The following is a 23,647-nucleotide window of genomic DNA, read 5'->3' as shown; positions in this document are numbered from 1 at the left end:
TAAAGGAAGAAGGGAGAAGTTCTTTGCTCTTGAAAAATCATATTTATAAGGTTAACGAGATTTATATATTACATCAGGGAACTGGGGTTAGAATGCAAAACTTTATCAATGTAACTTGGCAACAATAAAGATCCTCTGGTGTTTTCCCCTGTATGAGATCAAAACTTTTTATCTACACTGAGGTTTAATTAGATTTTTTAAATTCTCACAAAATCAAAATACATAGGATCCAACTTCAGGAACAAATCAGATATTCTAAGTTGAATGTTTTTGATTGGCAGTGCCAAGAACAGGAATAGTGTTTTAAAAACATATCTCTTTGCATTTAAAAAATCAAGTTAAACCTTTCAATGAATTATCCATTTAAGCCAGGAAGGCGGGTACTCCTATTTTCTGGATAAAAAGGAAAATACCAGGAGAATTCAATCTAATAAAAGAAAATTCACCAAGAAAGGAAGGATTTACAAACACACACACAAATGTACACATGAACTACTTTACAAACAAACAAGAAAATATTCTGGATCCAGTTTGCTCAAATAATGGGATATGATCTAGCAAATATTCTGTTTATAGGGAATTCTGTCTTGATCTTAGAGCATGTATCTAGTACTAAAATAGAAGCTTAATTAAGTTTGTACTTGCTGAACAATCAGATATCAGCAAAATCTACTCAACACGAAAGCAATTCTGATGAGTAAGTTATTGGTGATGACTCAAAGGCACTTCAGGATCTTGCAGCATTGGGGATCATTATTATAAACATGAAGTCAGAACTATCTTTGTAGTCATGCACCAAGTGACAGAGTAACAGTTCCAGTTGATAGGAGGTTGAGTTCATCAAATTTAGATGTTCTTGAAAGGTTTCAAGCAGCCAGCAGTTGGTAGATTCACCCAGCATATCTAGGAAAGGGCAGAGTCTGTGTCAGTTTTGCTTCTTACTGGGTGCACCTTGGCATAGTCCTGGGCATATAGTACACATTGGATAAATGTTTGCTGAATAATATGAATGAATGAGTGAATAGCAGAAAGTTAAGCTGAAATTTTTCTGTTTGAGAATTTCTCCTCATGACCAAAGCTGAGATGTGAAACAAGTGGCCCCATATTCTAAAGAGAGATGCAGCTTACCAACCATGCAGGACTGGTTAAGAGTTGGCCAAAACAATAGATAGATACAGATAGAAGTATAGAGATGTGGTTTTGGATTGATTGTAAGGGATTTATAGTCAAAAGCACTGTGCATTTATTTTCCTTTTCCTCTCATTGAGTGAGGTGGTAGAGGTGGGCTGCTTCTCCGCCCCTTGAGCCAAGTAAAGATAGCTTCAGGAGAGTATGGGAGTCGGAGCAGAGTTTAAAATCTCCCTTTCTGGTAGATGTTTTCTGAGTTGCAGGGTTTTGGCCTGCCCTGGTTGCCACCATCTTGGGGAGCAAAAAGCTCTCGGCAAGCCTTGCTTTTCAGAGTTTAATAGGGGGAACATATTTTCATGGGCCACGTGAACTCTGAAGATGGGAGTTGAGCTTGAGTCCTCTTAATAGGTCCCCAGCCATGGGCCCTGACTGCCAGGGCCAGGTGAACCCGACATGAGACGGCCATGTGGGGTGTCCCAATGACCCTTGGGTTGAAGGGGAATCCTAAGAATCTGCCAGGGAGGGTACTCTTCCAAGTCCAGGCACTGCAAGGCACAGGACCTGGGGCAGGGGGATGGGGTCGCTCCAAAGTACCTAACTAAAGTACCTTATAAGAACCAGTATTTCAGCATCTGTATTCAAAGAATGCCAATGGCTAGACAACAGCACCTAGGAGCAAAGGAAAAAGACATTTTTGCTTCTTTCCCTCTCCCCCGACTCTCTGCCCTACCCTGGGAGCAAAAATCAGCTAGCGAGTGACAAGAGACAGAGCAATAATAAAAGACAGACTATGCAATCTTTACGAGCTTGGGTCAGGCCTGAGCTCGGGGGAAGGGAAAGAGCATGGAACTTGATGGGAAACAGTTTTAAACTGTTTTAACACTAGGCTTTTTAAAACACTCTAACATGAAAACAGCTCAACATAAAAGGGACTGAATTGTGTGGGATCTGCCTGAGATGTTTACTAGTGGAAGAAGATCTGACAGAGAAGGTTGGAAGGGCAGTGATGGGAGTTGAGGGAGGAGTAGAAGCTGCTATTTCCTGGTTATGCCATATCGAGTTCAGCCCATGTGATATATTCGATTCCATTCAATAAGTGAATGAAAGAATGAATAAAAGAATGAATTTCTGTATAATTTGGTGCTATGGCCACCTGTCCAGTGGCCCCCGCCCACCCTACATACGACAAGAGTCCAGATGATGTCTTCACATCAGCACAGGCAGAGGGCAGGATAAGGCCTGTCCACCAGCTTTGGAGGTGAAGCTGTGAAGCCACCAAGTCAGTGAGTCAGGGAAGGCTGACCTCAGGGCAATCCAGACTTCTCCCAGGTGTGCTGTGGATTCACTCTCACCTTATCAAATCTCGCAACTGCTGAGTGTTACTTCGGCCCCAATAAGAAATGACTTTCGGGGGCAAATTAGCAAAGTATCCAGGTGTGAGATCACCCTCTGTTTGGTACTGAGGTAAGGACATCTCCACTTTGGACACTCTCTGGACAATAAGCCTGAGATTACTGTAAGAAGTATAGACACTTCTCCCCCTGTGGCTCTCTGTGTTACGGGGGACCAACACTGTGCAAGATGGGTGAATGTTCCCAATTTAACCATTTCTCCCTAGATGAGCACAGCACAGGTTCTTTCCTGGAGACATTAGTGAAATTAAGTTGGCAAGAAGGTCTCTTCTAATCCTGCTGTTTTAGCACAAGGCTTCTGGTGGGCCCCATGTCATCATCCTTGTTTTTCTTTTGTAACCTGATTTTATTGCCTTGGAACTGACTGATCACTTGTCTGTCTCTTCTTCTAGGGCAGGAGCTTTATTTTATTCATGATTCTACCCTAAAGGTGCCAGGCACAGAGTAGACCCTTGATAAATGCTGGTTAAGTGAATGAACTTGATTTGCTTTGATGGGTCTCCCTGAGACAAATGGAGCTATATACCAGACCCATTTTCCAGAAGGAGTCACTGAGGCACAGACAGGTGGGGTGGTTTGGCCAACATCCCATGGTGAAGTAGTTGGACAGATGAGACTAGAGTAGGCTGACGGACTGCAAAAAATAACTATGAAGCCAAATGTCTCAGTCAACTCAAGCCAAAGCTAGTTGCCTAGAGGCCAGAATACATTCTCCAAGCATAGACTCTTAGCACAGAGCCCAGACAGTCATAATGCCACCATTGCTGGCATTTTGCAGGTTACTGAATGGTTTCATAGCCATTAACTTGCTTACTCTTCACAGGGACATAGACAGAACCATAACAGACATTACTGTCCACATTGTACAGGTCCAGAGAGGTTACGGTAGAGGATGTGCCTGAGGATGCACAGCTATTAAAGGAGGAAGGCATCATGAACTCCAATCATGTGATCTCAAATCTGTGAGCTTCCCACCGAACCTAGTCAAACCCAACCAAACAAGAGCACACGGAGCATCTTCAGGATCCACCCAGATGCCCCCTGTTAGTTACGGATCAATGTCAGGAGCAACGTCTTTTGATTTTCATGTATCTTTTTGAGGTCCTTCCACTTCGCCCCATATGAGTTCACCTTGGCTAGGCAGCACTTTCGTTCCCAGGAAGAGTGATGACACAGTCCCTCCTCCTGGTTCCCTGGTTGTATCCTGGGAGCCTGTCTGCAGAATCCAGTTCTGACTTGGGCCACCACAGCAGTGCTGCGCCTGGGCAGGGCAGATTGCTGGGATGTAGAAGTGGCTCTGGAGTGAACACACTTGCCTCTGGGAGAGGCTACTGTGCCAGCTGTCATTTACCACTCAATATGTCAGGCAAGAAGTGAGACCGACAGCATTCTTCCCTTTGTGTCTCAAATACACATGCTTTTGTTTCTACTGGCAACATTCTATATAGTTAGTTCTCTTTGGAGGAGTATCTCCGCATTAAGATAAAGGAGCTCCTGAAATTTGGCAGATTCAAGGGTCTAATTTACGAAGTTGAGACCAGAAGACGAAATGGCTTTCGAGGTTTTGTTCAAATTGTTAAAACAGACGCCAAAAGATGTCTTTTTATGTACAGCTGGCTTCATTTTTTAATGTCAATACCAGCTTACTGTTGAAGGTAACAAATGACACATTGTAATATCTTGCCCAGTTAATTTTTAAAAGGAAATTCAGGAGGAGAGCCTAAAACTACTTTTTTTGTTTTGTAATGACAAAGCATATTTAGACAGACTAAATTTGGCAAAATAAATAAGCAAATATAAGCTCAGCGACTTCAATTTACCAAAACTTATTTTAAAAGCAAGAGGAGACATGAAAGGCAAAAATTCTACTCAAATCCAAACAGCTTCCAAGGAAAATTCCTGTAACCTTGAAGAATAATAAAGGCTCACGGATATATTTGGAATTTCTGAATGGGAGAACTGTTTCCCGAGAGCATTTTTAACATCCCAAGTGAAAAATGAGAACAAGGCTTAAATTGTTTGGTAAAGAGCAAAGAACCCTTTGGTTTCAGAAAAAAGAGAGGGAGACGGCAAGAGTCACAATGCTGTGAGGGGCTGGAGTCCTCTATGAAACAGGAACACTGGTAGCTATTGCCAGAAAACTTTCTCATGCAAAGAGTATACTTTGCCACATGCAAAGAGTGTACATTACAATTATCTTTCCTTTCTTCCTTTCTTTCTTCCTTCCTTCCCTTGCTTCCCTTGCTTTCTGCCCTCCCTGCCGCCCTCCCTCTCTCCCTCTCTCTCTCTTTCTTTTTTTGACAGTCTTGCTTTGGCTCAGGCTGGAGTTTTTGTGCCCCAGTCTCAGCTCACTGCAACCTCCATCTCCTGGGTTCAAGCAATTCTCCCGCCTCAGCCTTCTGAGTAGCTGGAATTACAAGCATGCGCCACCATGCCCAGCTAATTTTTGTATTTTTAGTAGAGATTGGGTTTTGCTACGTTGGCCAGGCTGGTCTTGACCGCCTGACCTCAGGTGATCCGCCCATCTCGGTCTCCCAAACTGCTGGGATTACAGGCGTGAGCCACGGCGCCCAGCCTACACCACACTTTAATGTCAAATAAATGAAGGGAGAAGTGCCAAATAACTTCTACAATAGGTTCAGATTTTGAACTTTTCCCTTTTGGCAACGTCATCTCAGTTGTTTGAAACAAAGCAGTGACCTCTACCAGCGATTTCTGGCTCCTCTTGTGACTTCAAAACAGACCCTAGCCTTGTATCCGTCTGTTCTCTCCCTTGCCACCACTGCCAGCAAGCAGCAATCAACAGAACTTGGTTGGGCCTTTTCAGATTTTACTTAGTGAGAGTAAATGTGGCCTCCTCCCCTTCACCCTACCCCACTGGAGTTTTTCCTCAGTGGCCAGGCTGCAAATCTTGCCCCCAGTCCCTTTGTTCCACCGACCTGAGGTTGCCTGAGCAAAGCCGATACTTCACCAGAGACTAATTTTAGGTGTTTTACTACGACCACTAACCAACTAACCAGCATCACAAATGGGATCAGTTTGCTAATTAGAAGCCCTTGGCTTCTAGAGCCCTAGGCTGCAATCATCCCCCCATGGCCTCAGGAAATGGGAAAGAGGTGCCACAGACCCTGGATGAGGGCGAGGGGACCATTTGTTGGACCCCATTCAAGGCTCCTTCAAAGACTGGAAAGAGAAAGGCTGCACCAAAGTGCAGCTTCAAGAGCGGGCTGGAGGCTGGAAACCTGAAACACCACTCATATAGTATGTCTTGGGGCCGGGCGCGGTGGCTCACGCCCGTAATCCCAGCACTTTGGGAGGCCACGGCGGGCGGATCACGAAGTCAGGAGATCGAGACCATCCTGGCTAACACGGTGAAACCCTGTGTCTACTAAAAATACAAAAAAATTAGCTGGGCATGGTGGCAGGTGCCTGTAGTCCCAGCTACTCGGGAGGCTGAGGCAGGAGAATGGCGTGAACCCGGGAGGCGGAGCTTGCAGTGAGCCGAGATCGCGCCACTGCACTCCAGCCTGGGTGACAGAGGGAGACTCCGTCTCAAAAAAAAAAAAAAAAAAAAAAAAAAAAAAAAAAAGATCGCGCCACTGTACTCCAGCCTGGGCGACAGAGCGAAAGAGCGAGACTCTGTCTCAAAAAAAAAAAAAAAGAAAGAAAGAAATAGTATGTCTTGGATTTAAAATATTTAAACTTAGTATTTCTTGGATTTAGAACATTTAAACATAACCAACAAGCATGTATTACTATGTGCTAAGCACCGGGTTCAATTTAGAGACTCGATAATGTGTGTATGTGTGCATCTCCTAGCGGGCACTGAGTGTTGTTTCTGCCTGGCACCACAGTAGATTATGTCCTCTCCCTTCCCTGAAGTTAGGATCTTGCAAACTGCAGGTGCCTGAGTCACCTTTGGAATCCCACAACCCCAATACACACAGACACATACTCAAGTGCTGGAATATGGGTCTCACACATAGATGTCATTCAGATGTTTGTAGAACTCTTAATTATATGCCAGCCCCAAAGAGAGACTTAGATAAATGAATTCTAGCCCCTACACTCCAGAAGGCTGTATAATAATGGTGGACATGAAGAGAAGAGCTAACATTTAGGTAATAGGACCTACAACCTAAGCAAAGGAGGAAGTAAACAAATGCACAGTCATGCAATGGGTTTGGCAAAACTTTGCTTCGATGGGCAGGGCAAAACTGCTCACAGGACCCTAGACTGAGGGCAAGGACTTCTTTTACATACTTCCTCCCCTTCTGGCAAAGTGGAAGAGAAAGGAGAATCCGCCTCTTAGCCTGCAGCAGAAGTAGATGCACTTGGACACTAGCTCTTTCCTCTCTCCTGCCCCATCTCTGTGGCTCTGGCAACAGGGACATCCACCCTCATAGTTCTGCTTAGAAACATGGAAAAGTCAGGACACTGGAGTGTCCTGGGGACAGGTACACTGGGAAGAATATGACAGGAGGAGATTGACTTTCAGGGACAGTTCAGAGGTAAAACTGCAAGTTTTCAGAACTTGCCCAACATTACACACACATACGCACACATACAATCTATCCATCCATCTATTGCCCTTTCCACTTTGATTTTAGAAGTAAAAATTTAAAAAACAAACAAACAGAGGCCAGAGTATTGTGGACTGGAAGAGGGCTTCCTGTTTGAATACAAACCGTCAACCCAGGATCACCGTTCTCTCCTCACACTCCCTGGAACATATCCCCCCTCCCCTCCTCAATGTTCAAAAGACCCTGGTTTCATGGAAAATAAAGTACACATTACATACGATAATGCCATCTAATTTGAGTTTTTGAGTAAGTACAGTCAGTCCAACACTCCTCGCCCCTACTCGACTCCCCCACCCAAGACTTTCTAATTTTAGAGCTAAGAGCAGAGAACTTGACACTGGGTATGTTTCCATTTACCATGAAAGGCATGTTTCTCCACAAACAACTGGAGGGCAGGCTTGGAAAACAGGTTTAAAGACCAGACTTGTAGAACTTTGGCACGGCAATTCTCTGGAAATGTCTACTATCCCATCGAGAGGCAGGAAGTATTGAGAATGAATGTGCGTTCTGGCTTCTTTCAAACAAAATGATTTAATTTTAAGAGTCTCAATTCATAAAATAGCCCAGCTAATCTTCCAAGGAAAATGGGCATATTTTGTTTTTCTTCATTCTTCAAAGAGTATTTGGGCCGTGAAAAGAATTTGTACTGAATTTCCTTAGAAGACTTAATTTGGCAATGTGCCTTATGAGGGAATATAGAATGGTTACAAAAAGAAAAAGTTTAATGGGAATATAAATGTTTTATGGTTTAGAAATTAGAACCAGTTTAACTTCTATGATAGCCACAAATAAAACACACACACACACACACACACACACACACACCAGTTTCTTCCAGTTCCTTCAGCAAGCTATAGTCCATTTCTATAAGCGTGTAGATTTATAGATTTAGGAGCTACTTCTGCAGAAGGAAAAGCAAAGTCTTCATTTGTGAAGCTGACATTTTTGGGGGTTGTTTGTTTGGTTGGTTTGTTTTTGTTTTGTTTTTGAGATGGAGTCTCGCACTGTCACACAGGCTGGAGTGCAGTGGTGTGATCTCCACTCACTGCAACTTCCGCCTCCTGGGTTCAAGCGATTCTCCGGCCTCAGCCTCCCAAGTAGCTGGGATTACAGGCGTCCACCACCATGCTCAGCTAATTTTTTGTATTTTTAGTAGAGATGGGGTTTCACTATGTTGGCCAGGCTGGTCCTGAACTCCTGACCTCATGATCCGCCTGCCTCGGCCTCCCAAAGTGCTGGAATTACAGGCGTGCACCACTGCGCCTGGCCTAAAGCTGACATTTTCAAACCTACATGTAGGTCCTCTTTGCCCAAACTATAGGTCAGGTCCTTTTATTGCCACATATACAACCAAGTTATCAATATTTCCCTTGAATCATCATCTTATAACAGGAAAAGCCAGAAAGCATTCTCGATGTTTTAAAAAAATCACACAGGACTCCCACCTGTTCATTCTCCCCATGGCCTCCCTCTCACCTGCCCACCCCTCTCTCACCTGTCCTCTAGGTGCACCTCATGTCTCCTGGTACCCAGACACCAGGCACTTGACCTGCTTTTCTTTCCATTCTAATGCTGCTACCCCCAACAAAGAGCATTTTTTTTCCCCTCATGACCTGTTCTTGGGCTAGGCACAATCTCCCCAACTCCACATTCCTCAAAACAAGCAAATGAGCAATTGGTTTCCCTGGAATTCAAAAGACTTACTGCCAATTCCTTTGTGAAAATCAATGGCGGGTGCCAAAAATAACAAGTACGAGGAAGCTAGGAAAGTTCGAGGAATCTCCCCAAGGTCTCCAAGGTATACCCTAGATTGGACCCTGATGTTTTCTTTCTTATGTGACCTCAAGTAGCTTCTCCCAGTTGGTGTTGGATTTTGGGCCAACGTGTAGAGACTGGAGGCCATATTACATCTGATGTGGGTTCTGTGCTGGAAAAATTGATCTCTGAATTCTTGGCTATTGTCTAAGGTACACAGACCTATGATGCCAGGCACTGCTGCTCCTCCAGCCTGTGCCTGCTGCAGACGTGGCTGAACAATCACAGATCTGTCTCCTGGAGCCTGGATGCTGCCCCAGCATCCTTCTCAGCAAGGTGCTGTCAGTAGCCATGAACAGCTCTTTGGATTCGGCAGGTGAGACGGACTTGTCATTCCTGTTCTCCCTGTCCCGTATCCTACGGTCTGAGTGAGATACATGCATCAGCCAGTGGCAAAGGCTGTATCCAGCTTCCAGCAAACACTGGCTGCTTTGCCTCTGGCTTCAGGAAGGATCAGCCAACAGATAGGCATTTGGCCAACTTGCCCCAACTCCCTACCAGGTGCGTCAGGACTGAGGCTTTTTGTTTGTTTTTAGCAAAATTTAACCTCTACCCAATTAGTGCATACAAATTAGGCAGGGGCTAACTACTTCCCTATGAGGAATTTGAGACATTTGGTCTCAGCATGGAAAAGTGAGTTTACCTGATGCAGATGGAACAGTTTATTCAAGTTAACAGGGAAGGTAGATGTGCCCACTTTCTATGGAATCCTCTTCAGAAGACTTGGTGGACTTGGCGAGTCAGGCTCCTAGCAGATATGAAGTGGTGGAGGAAGTGACTGAGGTGGTGAGTTTCCTTCACGCTCACGCCCTGTGCTGTGGCCAGTTTATGGGGCACTTGGAAGAAGTTAAAGCAGAGTGCGCACATCCCGTTTATTTTCATGCAGGCAAAGGGCTGGGCTGTCAAAACCTGGAGAGATACACTAAGCAGCGTCCTCAGACCCAGGTCTTGTCAGAATTTATTCTGACGTGGCTCACAAAGCTGTGATACAGGAGTGAAGATGCAATTACTTAGGCAGATAGTGAGGGTATGGAAGTCCTTGGTAAGGTTTTCCTTTTAATGAAAAGCAGCCCCAAATCATTTTCCTTTCCAGCAAAGAGCAGCCTATAAAATCGAGCTGCAGACATACATGCAGGCAGTTGTGCCAGCCATGTTCAAAATGGCGGCTCCATCGTCCCTTCTTTGCCAGCCACCTGTACAGTAAGGAGCAGAGAAGATGGCACCAGCTAAGGGGAAAGTTGATTTGCCTTATAAGATTAGGGTGGGGCGGCCATCCTTCCCTGCGCGCTATGTAAACATCGTACCTGATCGAACCAATCTGTGAGCCCTATATAAATTAGATACCACCTCCTCAAGCCTGACTATGAAATCCGGCACATCCATGGCCAACTGGCTCTTCTCTGGTTCTTTTTCCTCTCGGAAGCCCTCTCTTTCTAACTAGAGAGAGCTGTTTTCCTTTCTCTTTCTCTTTCTTTTGCCTATTAAACCTCCTTTCCTAAACTCCTCATGTGTGTCCGTGTGTCTGTGTCCTAAATTTTCTTGGTGCCAGACTGGGAACCTCGGGTATTTACCCCAGACAACTTAGAGGCTTCAGTTGTACCTTCTTGCTGTGATACAAATTGTCTGAATGTATCGAATTGAGGCTGCTGGGGAGAGGAGAGCCTTTCTAACGTGAACACAGAAGTGTGGGTGTCCAGATTCACATGGGCATGAGGTTTGAAAATGAACCTGAGACAGCCTTTCTGTCCCATTCCTGAACTGCCCTGGGTGCCACAGAGTCCCAGATTTGAAACACTGCAGAGCCATTTGGAGAAAATGAAGTCACAATTTAAGAAGGAGTCACAGATGAAGCAATATGAATCATGCATAAGTTTCTCTAGCTGCCTCTGGAGTTTGAGTGTGGGGGCGTGGCTGTGTTATCAAGCATCTGTCCCATGAGGGTGACTCAGTTTCAGTGGATTGACCACCTAGAAGACACGGTACTTCCGGAATTGGAGATACGTTTCAGAATCAGTACTGAATTGTCTGCTATGAGCCAGACTCCATGCCTCACTCATCACAAATCGGCTGGAATGAAGTTAAGTCATCTCCAGTAAACCTACATCCAAAAACGAGGCATGTTTTTGATTTACTTAAATCCAATAATTGAGGATAGTTCCGACTTCTAAATATCAATAATTTTCTTTTGTTTTTCTTCTTCTTTTTTTTTTTTTTTTTTGAGACAGAGTTTTTTGCTCTTGTTGCCCAGGCTGGAGTGCAATGGCGCGATCTCAGCTCACCGCAACCTCTGCCTCCCGGGTTCAAGCAATTCTCCTGCCTCAGCCTCCAGAGTAGCTGGAATTACAGGCAAGTGCCACAACAGCAGCTAATTTTTGTATTTTTAGTAGAGTCGGGGTTTCTCCATGTTGGTCAGGCTGGTCTCGAATTCCCGACCTCAGGTGATCCACCTGCCTCGGCCTCCCAAAGTGCTGGGATTACAGGTGTGAGCCACCGCGCCCGGCCCAATATCAATAATTTTCTTGGCCCGACCACAACTGATTATAAACTAATTCTAGGCCAGTAAACTGTATACTATGATCTGAAAAGAATTATTTGGACTGCTTTTGTGTTACGGATACACATCTACATGCCTGAATAGTGAAACCTTTGCCATAGAAAATGCCATGCATGTCTTGCCACTGAGCTTAAAAAAAATTAATAAATAAAAAACAAAAATATCATGCAGCAGCATGCACAGATAAGGATTTCTGATAGAATGGCTCACAGATGAAAAAGAAACACTCCTCTCTTAGACCCTTGCCTGGCCCTAACCTCTCTGGAGTCTACATATTCCTGAGGTTAACGTATTTCTTTCTAACTTACCTTTCTTTTAATTTCCAGTCAAATAATTTTTATTTAAATTCAATACGTCCTCAGGCTCAGGGTCCTGATTCCAGTGGAAAAAGTCCCTCTGGGTTCCCTGCCATTTGCCAAGCTGGAATGATTGACACATCCTATGAGTAACAGAGGGCCCAGCCTTTCCTGTTTCAGATCCTGAACCCCTTCTCTGCCCCGCTCAAGTTTTCTGCAATGACTCACTCCACTTCTCTCAGCACTCCCGGCCCCCACCCCTCTCCCTGCAAGTGATCTTTTGGAATTACCATCATAATGGGTAAAAAGAGAAGGAAAAAAAAATAGAACTTCTCTACTCCCAAGGAGAGTATTCTGAGAATTTTTTTTTTTTTTTTGAGACAGAGTCTCGCTTTGTCACCCAGGCTGGAGTGCAGTGGCGCGATCTCGGCTCACTGCAAGCTCCACCTCCTGGATTCATGCCATTCTCCTGCCTCAGCCTCCCCGAGTAGCTGGGACTACAGGCGCCCACCACCACGCCCGACTAATTTTTTTTTTTTTTGTATTTTTAGTAAAGAAGGGGTTTCACCATATTAGCCAGGATGGTCTCGATCTCCTGACCTCGTGATCCACCCGCCTCGGCCTCCCAAAGTGCTGGGATTACAGGCGTGAGCCACGGCACCGGGCCGAGAATATTCCTAACAGGAATATCTCAGCTTTCCTTCTGAATCCTCCCAGGGACTGGAACTCTCCAGTAGCTCTCTTTTTTTGTCCCCTGCCACCATGCCCTCTGTTCCCAGGCATTTGACTCCTGACCTGCTTCTCCCACCCAGACGGGGTTCTCTGGCTTTTCTCTGTGTGTCACTCTCTCTGCCAAATGGGCCTCAAGCCTCCAGAAAATCTGGCCCCTTTTCCATCCTTGTATATAAGAGGAAGAATGGGGAAAAGAGAGAACTTATTGAAAAAGAATCCGAGAGTACATTCCTCGATCTTTGTCCAGGTGATGCATTAAGAAGGTCACATCCACCGTGTCTGGTTTCACTTCCTTATCTCTCCAAGAGGGGTGGGACCAGAAGACTTCCAGGGCCCGCCCAGGTTTAGCAAGATTAGAATCGACCCTCCCTTGGCATGCCCTGGAAATTGGCCTCCGTGGAGCCGAACCCTCCTGCCAATGGGGACTGAGAGGCTGGTAATGCCTTGAGGATGGGGTAGGAGGAGCAGTGAGATAGAAGAGCAGAGTTACAGAATTGGTGGGGGAGACAGACAGCACTTGGAAAAAGGACAGATGAAACAATAAGGGCAAATGTGTCTGGAGCTTCCCAGTGTAGACAGGCTCCTGCTTGATCTCCTTTAAAAGCGGGAAGCACTCTGAGCACAGTTCCCATTTTACAGACAGTAAAAATGAGGCTCAGAAGCTAAATAAGCTGTCTAAAGTCACATGACTTGGAAATGCTAGAGCAGAGCCTACAGTCTGCCTTTATTTTTATTTTGTAATTTTTTTTCTTTTTTTCTTTAAGAGACAGAGTCTTGCTCTGTTACCCAAGCTGGAATGCAGTGGAGTGATCATAGCTCACTGCATCCTCCATCCTCCCACTCCTGGGCTCAAGTGATCCTCCTGTTTCAGCCTCCAGAGTAGCTGGGACTACAAGCTTGTACAACATCACCCATACAGACTGCCTTTAAATCCAATGCCCTTTCCACTGCACCAGGATGACTAAGTTCCTCCTGACTACCTGGCTGTAAAACTCCTGATACTGGTTGCCCTGGGGCAATGGTGTGACCAGGTCCCCATGACCCTTACCCTGCCACACTACCATTCAGGCCACAGAATGCTTTGTGGGGACATCTCTCTCTCTTCCTTTTTTTTTTTATACCGTTTTACTTTAATTTACTATTATGTTCTTTAGTTCCATTTATCAAAACTTTTCATCATATTCTTATAACTCAATTTCACTTTTGTAAGAGAAGTCACGGCAGCACTTGGGGGTTGGGGAAGGAGAGGCATCACGTACGGTGGGATTTGCCTTCTGCATCCCGGGGTATCCCAAGGTGATACCTTGGGATTTATTAGGATCTCAAGCCAGGGCAACATAGATACAGCAGCATTTCTGAAACTTAAGAAGTATGGCTGTCTGTTTAAAAAAACAAACAACAAAACCCCTCAAACCTCTTAGTATGGATTTAAATTATTTTCGCCATGTTTGTTTCTTGAATATGTCCAAATTAAATATAAGCTAGATATGACATTTAATAAAAACTCCTTAATCCTATGGCTCTCAGGTAAGTGTCTGGTTTTGCTGAAACTAAATTGCCAACACTGAATTAAGTGGTCAAGTTAGCATGAGTCTGCATCTGTTTCTGCACTGGACTTTAATAATGCCATTAGCAGAGGATGCCTTTGCACCCAGGTACATTGTGGAAGTTAGTAACTGCAGGGCTATTTTTCCTTCAGGGATGTCGTACTCATACTTAACCAAAGCTCTGCTAGGAGCAATCCTTGAGAGCCAGCTCTGGCTCCAGCCTTTGGAGACCTCTGCCTTTTCCACTTGAAGACAGAATTTGGGTCCTGTTGGCCAATTCTCGCTGCAAACTGTTAGATGAAAGTAAAGTAAAACGGGTCTGTGTGCGACACGTCTGCATACACGTGAATGAGGCCTTTGAGTCTGGCAGGCTTCCCTGCCACGTGCTCTCACTTCACTGGGGTAATGCCTTTGCATACACAAATGCAGCCATGTGCCCTGAAGAGCAGGCAGCATTCAGGTCTCCATAGCCACCTGGGTGATCTAGTAGAGGCTCATATAATTTTTTTGAATCATCTTTGCAGTAATCTCAGTACTGCCCAGACCTGTTGAGAAATAATGGTATAGAAGAGTCCTATCTTGGGTCAAAGTCCTTCGCCTGCTTTTTGATAACTCCATCACTCAACCACAAGTCATCTAATGTCCCTGCACTTCAATTTCTTTGTCTAAAAAATGGAAACAATAATGCTTGCTATTCTAATTTTATTGGATTGCTACAATGCAATAGTTCCCAAAATGTAGTTCCCAGGCCAGCATTACCAGCATCACCTGGAACTTGTTGAAAAGGCAAATTCTCAGGCCCTTCCAAACCTGCAGAATCAGAAACTCTGGGTGAGGCCCAGTAATCTGTGATTGCACAAGTCTCCAGGTGATTCCGATGCCCTCTAAAGTTTGAGAAGCACTGCTATAAAACAATGGGATAATGAATGCAAACAGTGTCTACAAACTGTAATGCCTACATCATCACTTTGAGAGCCACTGCTCTACGCAAGTGTTGGTTACTATCTTGTCACCCAGGTTTCCATTAAAATGCAAATACCCCCAGGGTGGGTGACACCTTAAGCTTTAACAGGTGTTGGTTATTCTCAACAAGCATAGCAGGTGGTTAGCTAAAAATAAACCCTTTCTAGAATAGAAAATTAGGAAGGTTAAGAGTTTCTGTAGGGTGAACAAGGGACAGAGAGAGAAAAAGGAAAGGAGCATGGAGTCACACAGACTTGCATTCATGTTCTAGTTCTGTGTTTACTAGCTACATGACCTTAAGCAAGTTACTTACAGGACATCGTAACCCTATGATGATGACCTCCATAGAGTTATTGGGAGGATTAAGTGGCACAACACGTGCAAAGCACGTAGTGCAACCCATGGTTCATATAGGTATTCAATAAGTGATGCCTATCATTAGCAGCAGGGTGTCCAGACTGCTTAAGACTACCACCTGGGACTCATCCTCACTCCCACGCCACTCACCATCCCTCCAGCCACCCTATCTATTATTATTATCATTATCACCATCAACATCATTGCCTCTTCTGCCAGAGCTTCCTGACCTTAGGCTTAAAACTGCCACCCTAAGATTAACCACTGAGGAAGGAAAGGGGAAAATTCCCAGAATGGCACAGCTGCCTCAAGGTACAGGCTGGCTCATGCTCTGGTCCCCAGAGGTGTCACTGGAGTGTGCCACATTTTGACACCTGAGAGATGGTAGGCAACCAGAGGGACAGGTTCTTCCTCTCCATCCATTCTTGGACTGAAAACCCCCAGAGGGTGGGCCCAAGGGAAGTGCTGGAGCAGAGAAGCCTCTGGAAGGCAGAGAGAGGAGGCACGTAGGGCCAGGACCAAGCCCTCACAGAGGTACAACAGGGCAACCCCTGCAGGGGCAAGGAGGGTAGCCTTTCCTCTAGGGACAGGTGACATGGGTAGAATGGAAACCTGGGCTCCAGTGAGAAGCTCCATTTCATTAGAATCGCATGCTCTAGAAGAGGGGGTGAGGCCAGAAGTCTTTCCTGAGAGGAGAAGCAGGTTCCACAGTGTAGACCTTTGGGGGCTGATCTGGAGGCCTCCCTGAGTACTGCTGCCTGCCTGCTAACTTCCTGGATCTGGAGGTGTGGCAGGCACGGCCTTAGGTGCGCAGAGTGGACAGGTGGATCCAGCCCCAGGCCCGCCCAGATGTTATCTCTCGGGTGGCTCCAGGTCCCTTTCTGTCCAGGGCAAGGCCTCTGAGATGGGTCATGCAGGCTTGGCCTTTCTTCCCTCAATGACTCAGGGCCGGCTGGCCAAGAGTCACCCTCAGCTACCCTCCCACTAATGAGAGGAGGCCGGATTCCTTTGGATTTAGTAAGGTCACTCCTTGAGGGTTGCCTTTTGTTACCCATCCACAGTGGGAATGCTTCCTTAATGAGCAGAGAGCCACACCCTTTCCCAGCGTCGGGGGTGGGGGTGGGGGGGGAGGGTAGGGTAGCCTTTTCAGGTGGCACATGAACAGGGCTGATTTCACAATGGCCAGCCCACAGGTGAGGCACCTAGGGCAGGCCTGCTTCGTCAGTCCTCCCCAGCTCTCCTATCCAGGTGGCTACTCCTCCAGACCCCACCTGCCCCAACAGCTGGAGGGCGAAGCTGCTGCAGGCATGGGAGGCAGAGGAATGGTGGAGGAGCTGGGGTGCTGGGCGTGCAGTAGTGCTTGACTGGAAACCGGACGAAGCTGCAGATGGGAGAGGCACTGCTTGAACACTCCTGCCGCATCCATCACTCCGGGCACCTCCTGCAGTGCACACGGTCTCACTTTGATTTTAATCCCACCAATAGCAGGAAGGAGGTATGAGCCTCATCTGCAGCTCAGGATGATTAGGGGACAAGTCTGGGGTCATGTGCTGGTAAGGGAAAGAATGTGGACTCAATCTCACGTGGCCTGGCTCCAAAACCCGTCCATTTGCTAATTTAGTTTAAACCACCGGTTTTTTAACTTAAAAATTTTGTTTCTGAACGTTGAAAATGAATATAAAATTCAATGTGCTTCTCTGTACTCTCTTAGCAACTTCCTGTGAATCTATAATTATTTCAAAATAAAAAGTTTAAAACAATCCTATGTGGAGCCTGAATGTATAAAATGTATCACTGAGATGCTGTGAGAGTCCAGGGCAGTGGTTTCTTTCTGGGGTGGTGTTGAAAGGCAGCAGTGAGGGGTGGCCCTGTTTCTGGATCTGGGCTGGTTCTGCAGATGTGTTCTGTTTGTAAAAGTTCATCGAGCTGTGCATTTGTGATTGGTGCACTTTTCTGTATAAATGTAAAACTTTAAAAGTTGAAAATATATCAAAATGGAGATGCTCTAGTTGAACAGGAAGAGGGGTTCGATGTGCTCAGCTTCTTCCCCCACACCCCTCCACTTAACCCTCTCAGGACCCCAGGGTTCTGGGAGCACGCTCTGGAGTCTGGGTTCTGATTTCTCTTATATAATACAGGTGGCTGGGTCAGAGGACCTCAGCTCTCCAGTCCCCGCCCCAAGTGTTCTATTGTCATTTCCCATTATTCAGTTACAAACCATAGCCCATTGACGGTGAAAACCACCATTCAAATGTCCAAAAAGAAGAACATTAATCCTGGGTGTGGAGGACCCCACACAGGTCGCTGTGTGTAAAAGAGACAGCAGGCTCTCGGTCTCCCACTTGGGCAGGGCAGCCTTATACTGAAAGAATAAACTTCAAGTGAAGAATTCCCAAAGACAACTCGGCAAGAAAAGGCTTTTATGCCTTGAAAGGAATTGAATCAGACTTATAATCACAGAGAGCTGGAAATCACATCCATTCAGCATGTTCTGCAAATGAAAGGCAACTGACAATGTAAAACAAACAAACAAAACTCACTCGCATTCTCAGTTGACATGTCCTGTTTTCACCTCATTTGGCTTCTTGGAAGATTTCTGGGTTGAATGTGCACTTTGGAGCAGCATGCCTGAGCCAGGTCGTTTTTCCCCTCCTGCTTGGAGGATGTGGCGAACATATTTTCCTTTCATTCGCCGAGTTAGTTTCTGGTGTTACCTGCCCACTACTGTACCTGGAGTCAGCAGTAGCTGCCAACCCATAGCTAAGGGCAGAAGTTAGCCCAGTGTGAGGTTAATTGGACCAAATTAAAGCCATTACGGTTTAACAGGCTCTCTATTGGAGGAATGCTTAAGTGGGCTCCCCCGGGACTTGGGAAATTTGGAAGTGAAGTGGTTTTTGCTATTTGCAGTAGCTGCATCTCCCGTTTTATTTGTCAAACTGCTACTCTGCAGACTGCTGTGGGGTGAAGTTGTTAGACAAAGGAGAATCTTTTCTTTCTTTCTTTCTTTTTTTTTTTTTTTTGAGACGGAGTGTCACTCAGGCTGGAGTGCAATGGCACAATCTCAGCTCACTGCACCCTCTGTCTCCTGGGTTCAAGTGATTCTCCTGCCTCAGCCTCCCGAGTACCTGGGATTACAGGTGCGCACCATCACACCTTGCTAATTTTTGTATTTGTTTATTAGTAGAGACAGTGTTTTGCCATATTGACCAGGCTGGTCTCGAACTTCTGACCTCAGGTGATCCACCCGTCTTGGTCTCCCAAAATGCTGGGATTACAGGCTCAAGCCACCACGCTCGGCCAGGAGAATCTTTTATATGATCCTGTTTCCAGAAGAGGCTATCCTCTGAGGAGTTTAGGAAATGATAGAGTGAATCAGACTAATAACCCCACTGAGGAGATGAGGCGAAAGAGGAATAAGGCATGCAAGGGTCAGGGTCTCCTGCTTGGTGACATAGCTTTTCTGGGAGGATCTTTTCAGTTCAATGCTACCCTACCTAATCCCAAGGAAAGCAGAGTTTTAGTTCACTGAATTTTCAGGCTGAGTAGAAAATTCCTTTTTGATACAGCACTTGTTGCTGGAGAGCCACGTACTCTGTGATGTCCTCTCAGGACCCTTTCCACCCTGGGGCTCCTCCTCTGCTGAAGCAGGGCTGGCAGTTTCCAATTGATCAAAGTATAAGTAGCCAACGGCAGCTCACAACTCTCATGACAAATGCCAACCCCATCTTAGATAACATTCACCAGAGGGTTGCATCGGGTTAGGAAGGTGATAGTGTGGTGGTCCCTCTGTGCTTTCAGGACACTGGGCTTGTGGGGTACAATCTAGGGTGGCTTTTTTTTTTCTGAGATGGAGTCTCACTCTATTGCCAGGCTGGAGTGCAATGGTGCAATCTCGGCTCACTGCAACCTCCACCTCCCGGGTTCAAGCAATTCTCCTGCCTGAGCCTCCTGAATAGCTGGGACTACAGATGCCCGCCACCACGCCCAGCTAATTTTTGTATTTTTAGTAGAGACAGGGTTTCACCATGTTGGCCAGGATGGTCTCGATCTCTTGACCTTGTGATTAGGGTGGCTTTTTAAAAAAGTAACTCTGACAGAATCCTTCCAGAAAACAGAACAGCATGGTAAAGCCTCTGGGCACTGTGTCAGCTGAAAAGAATGGGGATGTGTAGCCTAGGGAAGAGAGAAACTCTCTGGGAGGGAGGCAAGGATGTGGCCCCTGGGGGAAGAGCTATGACCCCAGGTGGCATCTCCAATGGGAGATGGTTCAATTCCCAGCTCCTACATAGGGTTTTCCTATGTCCTAGTCAGTAATTTAAACACAATCCCTACTGTAAACTCATTGGATGCTCACAACCACCTTATGACGGTACTGTGATTATCATCCTCATTTTACAGATGTAGAAACCAGCACACAGAAGTTAAATACCTTCCCAAAGTAACAATGCTATTAATGAGAGAGTTGGAATTTGGACCCGGCTTTCTTACTAGCCCGGAGTTTCTCAACCTCAGTACTATTGACATTGGAGGCTGGAGAATTCTTTGTTGTAGGGGGACCCTGTCCTCCCTCTCCTTGCATTATAGGATGTTCAGTGGCATCCCTGGCTTCCACCCACCAGATGCCAGTAGTACTCCCCTGTTGTGACAGTCGGATGTCTCCAGACGTTGCCAATGCTCCCTGGAGGGCAGAATCGCCTTTAGTTAAGAAGCACTAAGTGCCTCCCGAGATGGGCCAGCCTGTCTCCTGTAGGAGCAGGAACGCCTGCTGCTGCCTTCCTAGTGCAGGGGCCACTGAGGCCCCCTACACTCTCAACACTTTCTGACGTGCCTCCTAACTGAATGGGGGAGGGGAGATTTTACCGGACCCTCCTTCTGCCTAGAGACGTTCTGGCCCCTAGAGATTGTTTGATTTTTAACATTTCCAACATTTCCTAATGTTATTGTCATTTGCCTCTCTGTCCCCAAATTAAAGGCCAAAGAATCATTCTGATTTTGTGGGGCAAAACCTGAGGGAAAGCCTAAAGTTTACCTAGCACTTTACATATTTATTCAGTTTAATCCTCACAGTCATCGTACTGAGGGAGATATCCCCATTGTAAAGATGAGAAAACTGAGGCTTAGAAAGCTTAGTTAGTTGCCCAAGGTCATAGCTATAAGTAATGGAGCCAAGGTTTGCAGCCAGATCTGTCCACACCAAAATCGGTATGCTTTTATGAGGGGCGAGGATTAGGGCAGACACTCAGAGCTGAGCTCAGAAACACGATGCTCACAGTGACACACCAAGACAAGAAGAGCCTGAGCTGGAGAAGCAGGGATAGGGGACAAGAGGTGTGAGACAGCTTAGGGTCACAGCACGTGACAAGGGAGGCCAGGGTTGAGGAGTGCATTTGGGGGCCGTGTATGCAGGCCACTCCCTTGTGCCCCTGAGGCCCTGCCTTCCCTCCCCTGGGCTGCCATCCCCTTCTGCCTCCAAGTCCCCCTCCAGCTCCCAGAGCAATCTAGTAAAACCACAAATCCGACCACAACCCTCGCTGCTCTAAATCCTCCATCGCTGCCCTTCTCTCAGACCAAACGCCCAAATCGTGCAAGGCCAGACTCACCCAGCCCTCTGGGCTCCCTGGCCGTGTGCTCGCCTGTCCCTGTACACACTCCTCCTCCTTGCAATCCTTGGAACCCCACACTCCTTCTCTAAGCACAGCTCTGTGTGTCAAATCAAGACTTTGAACGGGATATTTGTGAGTATATAAGTCTCACAGCCTTTCTTTATTGTTTAAGCTCCAGGTGGCCAAGTCATCTCCTCCCATCATCTATCCCTTGTGGGACCGACATGGTGCCTGTCACATTGTAGGACTCAATAGATATTTGCTGAATATATATTTAACAAGCTTGTAATTTATGTTGTCATCTAAGTCACAGTTGAAAATGCCAAGCAGAAGTAGGCCAAAGCGGAAGGGTGGCTGCCAGCAGATAGCACCCTCTGGGTGATGTCAGGCCCCTCATCTGTACCACCTGGGTCATTCAACCCCCAGCGCCATCCTCCTGTATCTTCACGTGGCCTATGCACCTTGGCACCTCCAAGTCTTGTTCACCAGGGCACCACACAAGTGCCCCAAATGCCTACTAACCTCCCTTCAGCCTATGTCTACACACCCCTTTTCTTTCCCAAGCCAAGAAGCTTTAGGAGAGGAGAATGCACCTAGTCTTGATGGCCCCTCTTAGCTTTTAGTAGTTCCTCTTCCTTAGGTTCTCAAAAGCCTCTCATGATTTTACTGCTTGATGATTTGGCCCTTAGGAAACCAGGAGCAGGCTCTGAAAAAATGGGCCCAGGACAGGTGGAGTTTTTTTCAGTGTTATTAAGGCATGATTGACATTCAACAAGCTGCAAAAAGTAAAATTGTACAATTTGATGAGTTTTAGCAAATTACCATGATCAATATAGTGAAAATTTCCATCACCTCCAAAAGTTTCCCTGTGCCTTGTGTAATCTATCCCTGTCTGCACTGCATACTCAGCAGCCACTCATCTGCTTTCTATCACTACAGATTAGTGTAGATTTAAAAAAACTGTAAATAAATGGAAACATACTGTGTGTGTACTTGGGGGTAGTGTCTCATATCTTTGACTCAACATGATGCTTTTAGGATTGATCCACGCTGTTGCATGCAGTGACAGTTTGTTCCTTGTTATCACTAGTCACATTCGGTTATAGGTTATATTGATACGCAGCCGTCCCCTCTTATCCACGGTCTCACCTTCCCTGGTTTCAGTTACCAGCAGTACGGTACTATAAGCTACTTGGAGAGAGAGAGAGAGAGAAGAGGCCACATTCACATAATTTTATTTATTTATTTATTTGAGACAGAGTTTCGTTCCTGTTGCCCAGGCTGGAGTGCAATGGTGGGATCTTGGCTCACTGCAACCTCTGCTTCCGTGGTTCAAGCGATTCTCTTGCCTCAGCCTCCCGAGTAGCTGGGAATACAGGTACCCACCACCGTGCCTGGCTAATTTTTTTTTTTTTTTTTTTTTTTTTTTTTTTGTATTTTTAGTAGAGATGGGGTTTCCCAATGTTGGCCAGGCTGGTCTCAAACTCCTGACCTCAGTTGATCTGCCTGCCTTGGCCTCCCAAAGTGCTGGGATTACAGGCGTGAGCCACCATGCCTGGCCCATATATCTTTTATTATGATATATTGTTATCATTGTTCTATTTTATTAGTAGTTATTGTTGTTCATCTCTTACTGTGCCTAATTTATAAATTAAACTTTATCATAGGTATGTGTGTATAGGAAAAAAACACAGTAATACACAGGGTTCAGTACTATCTGTGGTTTCAGGCATCCGCTGGGGGTCTTGGAATGTAGTTCCTGAGAGAGCAACTGTGGCACAATTTGGCATCCATTCACCTACTGATGGGCATTTTGGGTTGTTTCCCATTTGGGACTATTTCAAATAAGGCTGCTATGAGCATTTATGAACAGTTCTTCTGTGGACATGTTTTCATTTTTCTTAGGTAAATATCCATCTACCAAGTGACCCAGTAGAATGGCTGGGTCACTTGGTAGATGAGTATTTAACTTTTTAAGAAACTACCAAACTGTTTTTCAAAGTAGTTGCACCATTTGGTTTTCCCAACAAGGTACAATAACTCCATTTGCCTCACATTCTTACCAATACTTAGCATGACATGCTTTAATTTTAGCCATTCCAGTAGGGTAATAGTGGTATCTTCCTGTGGTTTTTAATTTTTTTTATTTTTTTTGAGACGGGAGTTTCACTCTGTGGCCCAGGCAGGAGTGCAGTGGTGCCACCTCAGCTCACTGCAAGCTCTGCCTCCTAGGTTCACGCCATTCTCCTGCCTCAGCCTCCCGAGTAGCTGGGACTACAGCCACCACGCCCAGCTAATTTTTTGTATTTTTAGTAGAAATGGGGTTTCACCATGTTAGCCAGGATGGTCTCAATCCCCTGACCTCGTGATCCCCCCACCTTGGCCTCCCAAAGTGCTGGGATTACAGGCATAAGCCACTGTGCCTGGCTTCCTCCTGTGGTTTTAATTGCATTTCTGTGATGACTAATGATGTTCGATATCTTTTCATGTGTTTATTGGCTATTGTTATGTCTTCATGAAATGTCTGTTCAAATACTTCAACAAGTTTTAATTGTTTTTTTATTTCGTTGTAAGCATTCTTTATATAGTATAGAAACAAATTCTTTATCTGATATATGTGTAATAAATAGTTTTTTTTTTCCAGTTTGTGGTTTGCT

At 45.7% G+C, this 23,647-nt stretch overlaps 1 long non-coding RNA gene across 1 annotated transcript, besides 4 other annotated features; it reads right to left on the bottom strand.

The window, feature by feature from the left end:
* Positions 1-22: 22 nt before the first annotated feature.
* On the bottom strand, positions 23-10,743 carry LOC107986629 (uncharacterized). Its single transcript, XR_001744280.2, has 2 exons — positions 9,582-10,743; positions 23-903 (listed from the first exon to the last, which is right to left on the bottom strand). It is a non-coding gene; the product is annotated as an uncharacterized LOC107986629 (long non-coding RNA).
* Positions 11,984-12,653: an enhancer, noted in NCBI's record as "H3K27ac hESC enhancer chr6:109057555-109058224 (GRCh37/hg19 assembly coordinates)". NCBI's record gives its function as "activates a minimal SCP1, AML or CMV promoter by ChIP-STARR-seq in primed H9 embryonic stem cells {active_cell/tissue: H9 hESC(primed)}" and the evidence as "EXISTENCE:reporter gene assay evidence [ECO:0000049][PMID:30033119]".
* Positions 15,635-16,426: an enhancer, noted in NCBI's record as "H3K4me1 hESC enhancer chr6:109053782-109054573 (GRCh37/hg19 assembly coordinates)". NCBI's record gives its function as "activates a minimal SCP1, AML or CMV promoter by ChIP-STARR-seq in naive H9 embryonic stem cells {active_cell/tissue: H9 hESC(naive)}" and the evidence as "EXISTENCE:reporter gene assay evidence [ECO:0000049][PMID:30033119]".
* Positions 16,427-17,219: an enhancer, noted in NCBI's record as "H3K4me1 hESC enhancer chr6:109052989-109053781 (GRCh37/hg19 assembly coordinates)". NCBI's record gives its function as "activates a minimal SCP1, AML or CMV promoter by ChIP-STARR-seq in naive H9 embryonic stem cells {active_cell/tissue: H9 hESC(naive)}" and the evidence as "EXISTENCE:reporter gene assay evidence [ECO:0000049][PMID:30033119]".
* Positions 17,554-18,481: an enhancer, noted in NCBI's record as "OCT4-NANOG hESC enhancer chr6:109051727-109052654 (GRCh37/hg19 assembly coordinates)". NCBI's record gives its function as "activates a minimal SCP1, AML or CMV promoter by ChIP-STARR-seq in primed H9 embryonic stem cells {active_cell/tissue: H9 hESC(primed)}" and the evidence as "EXISTENCE:reporter gene assay evidence [ECO:0000049][PMID:30033119]".

The sequence above is a fragment of the Homo sapiens genome, chromosome 6 (assembly GCF_000001405.40).
Source record: "Homo sapiens chromosome 6, GRCh38.p14 Primary Assembly".
Lineage (NCBI taxonomy): Eukaryota > Metazoa > Chordata > Mammalia > Primates > Hominidae > Homo > Homo sapiens.
The sequence above is the reverse complement of the archived record's forward strand: the minus strand, read 5'-3'. Positions and strand labels throughout refer to the sequence as shown.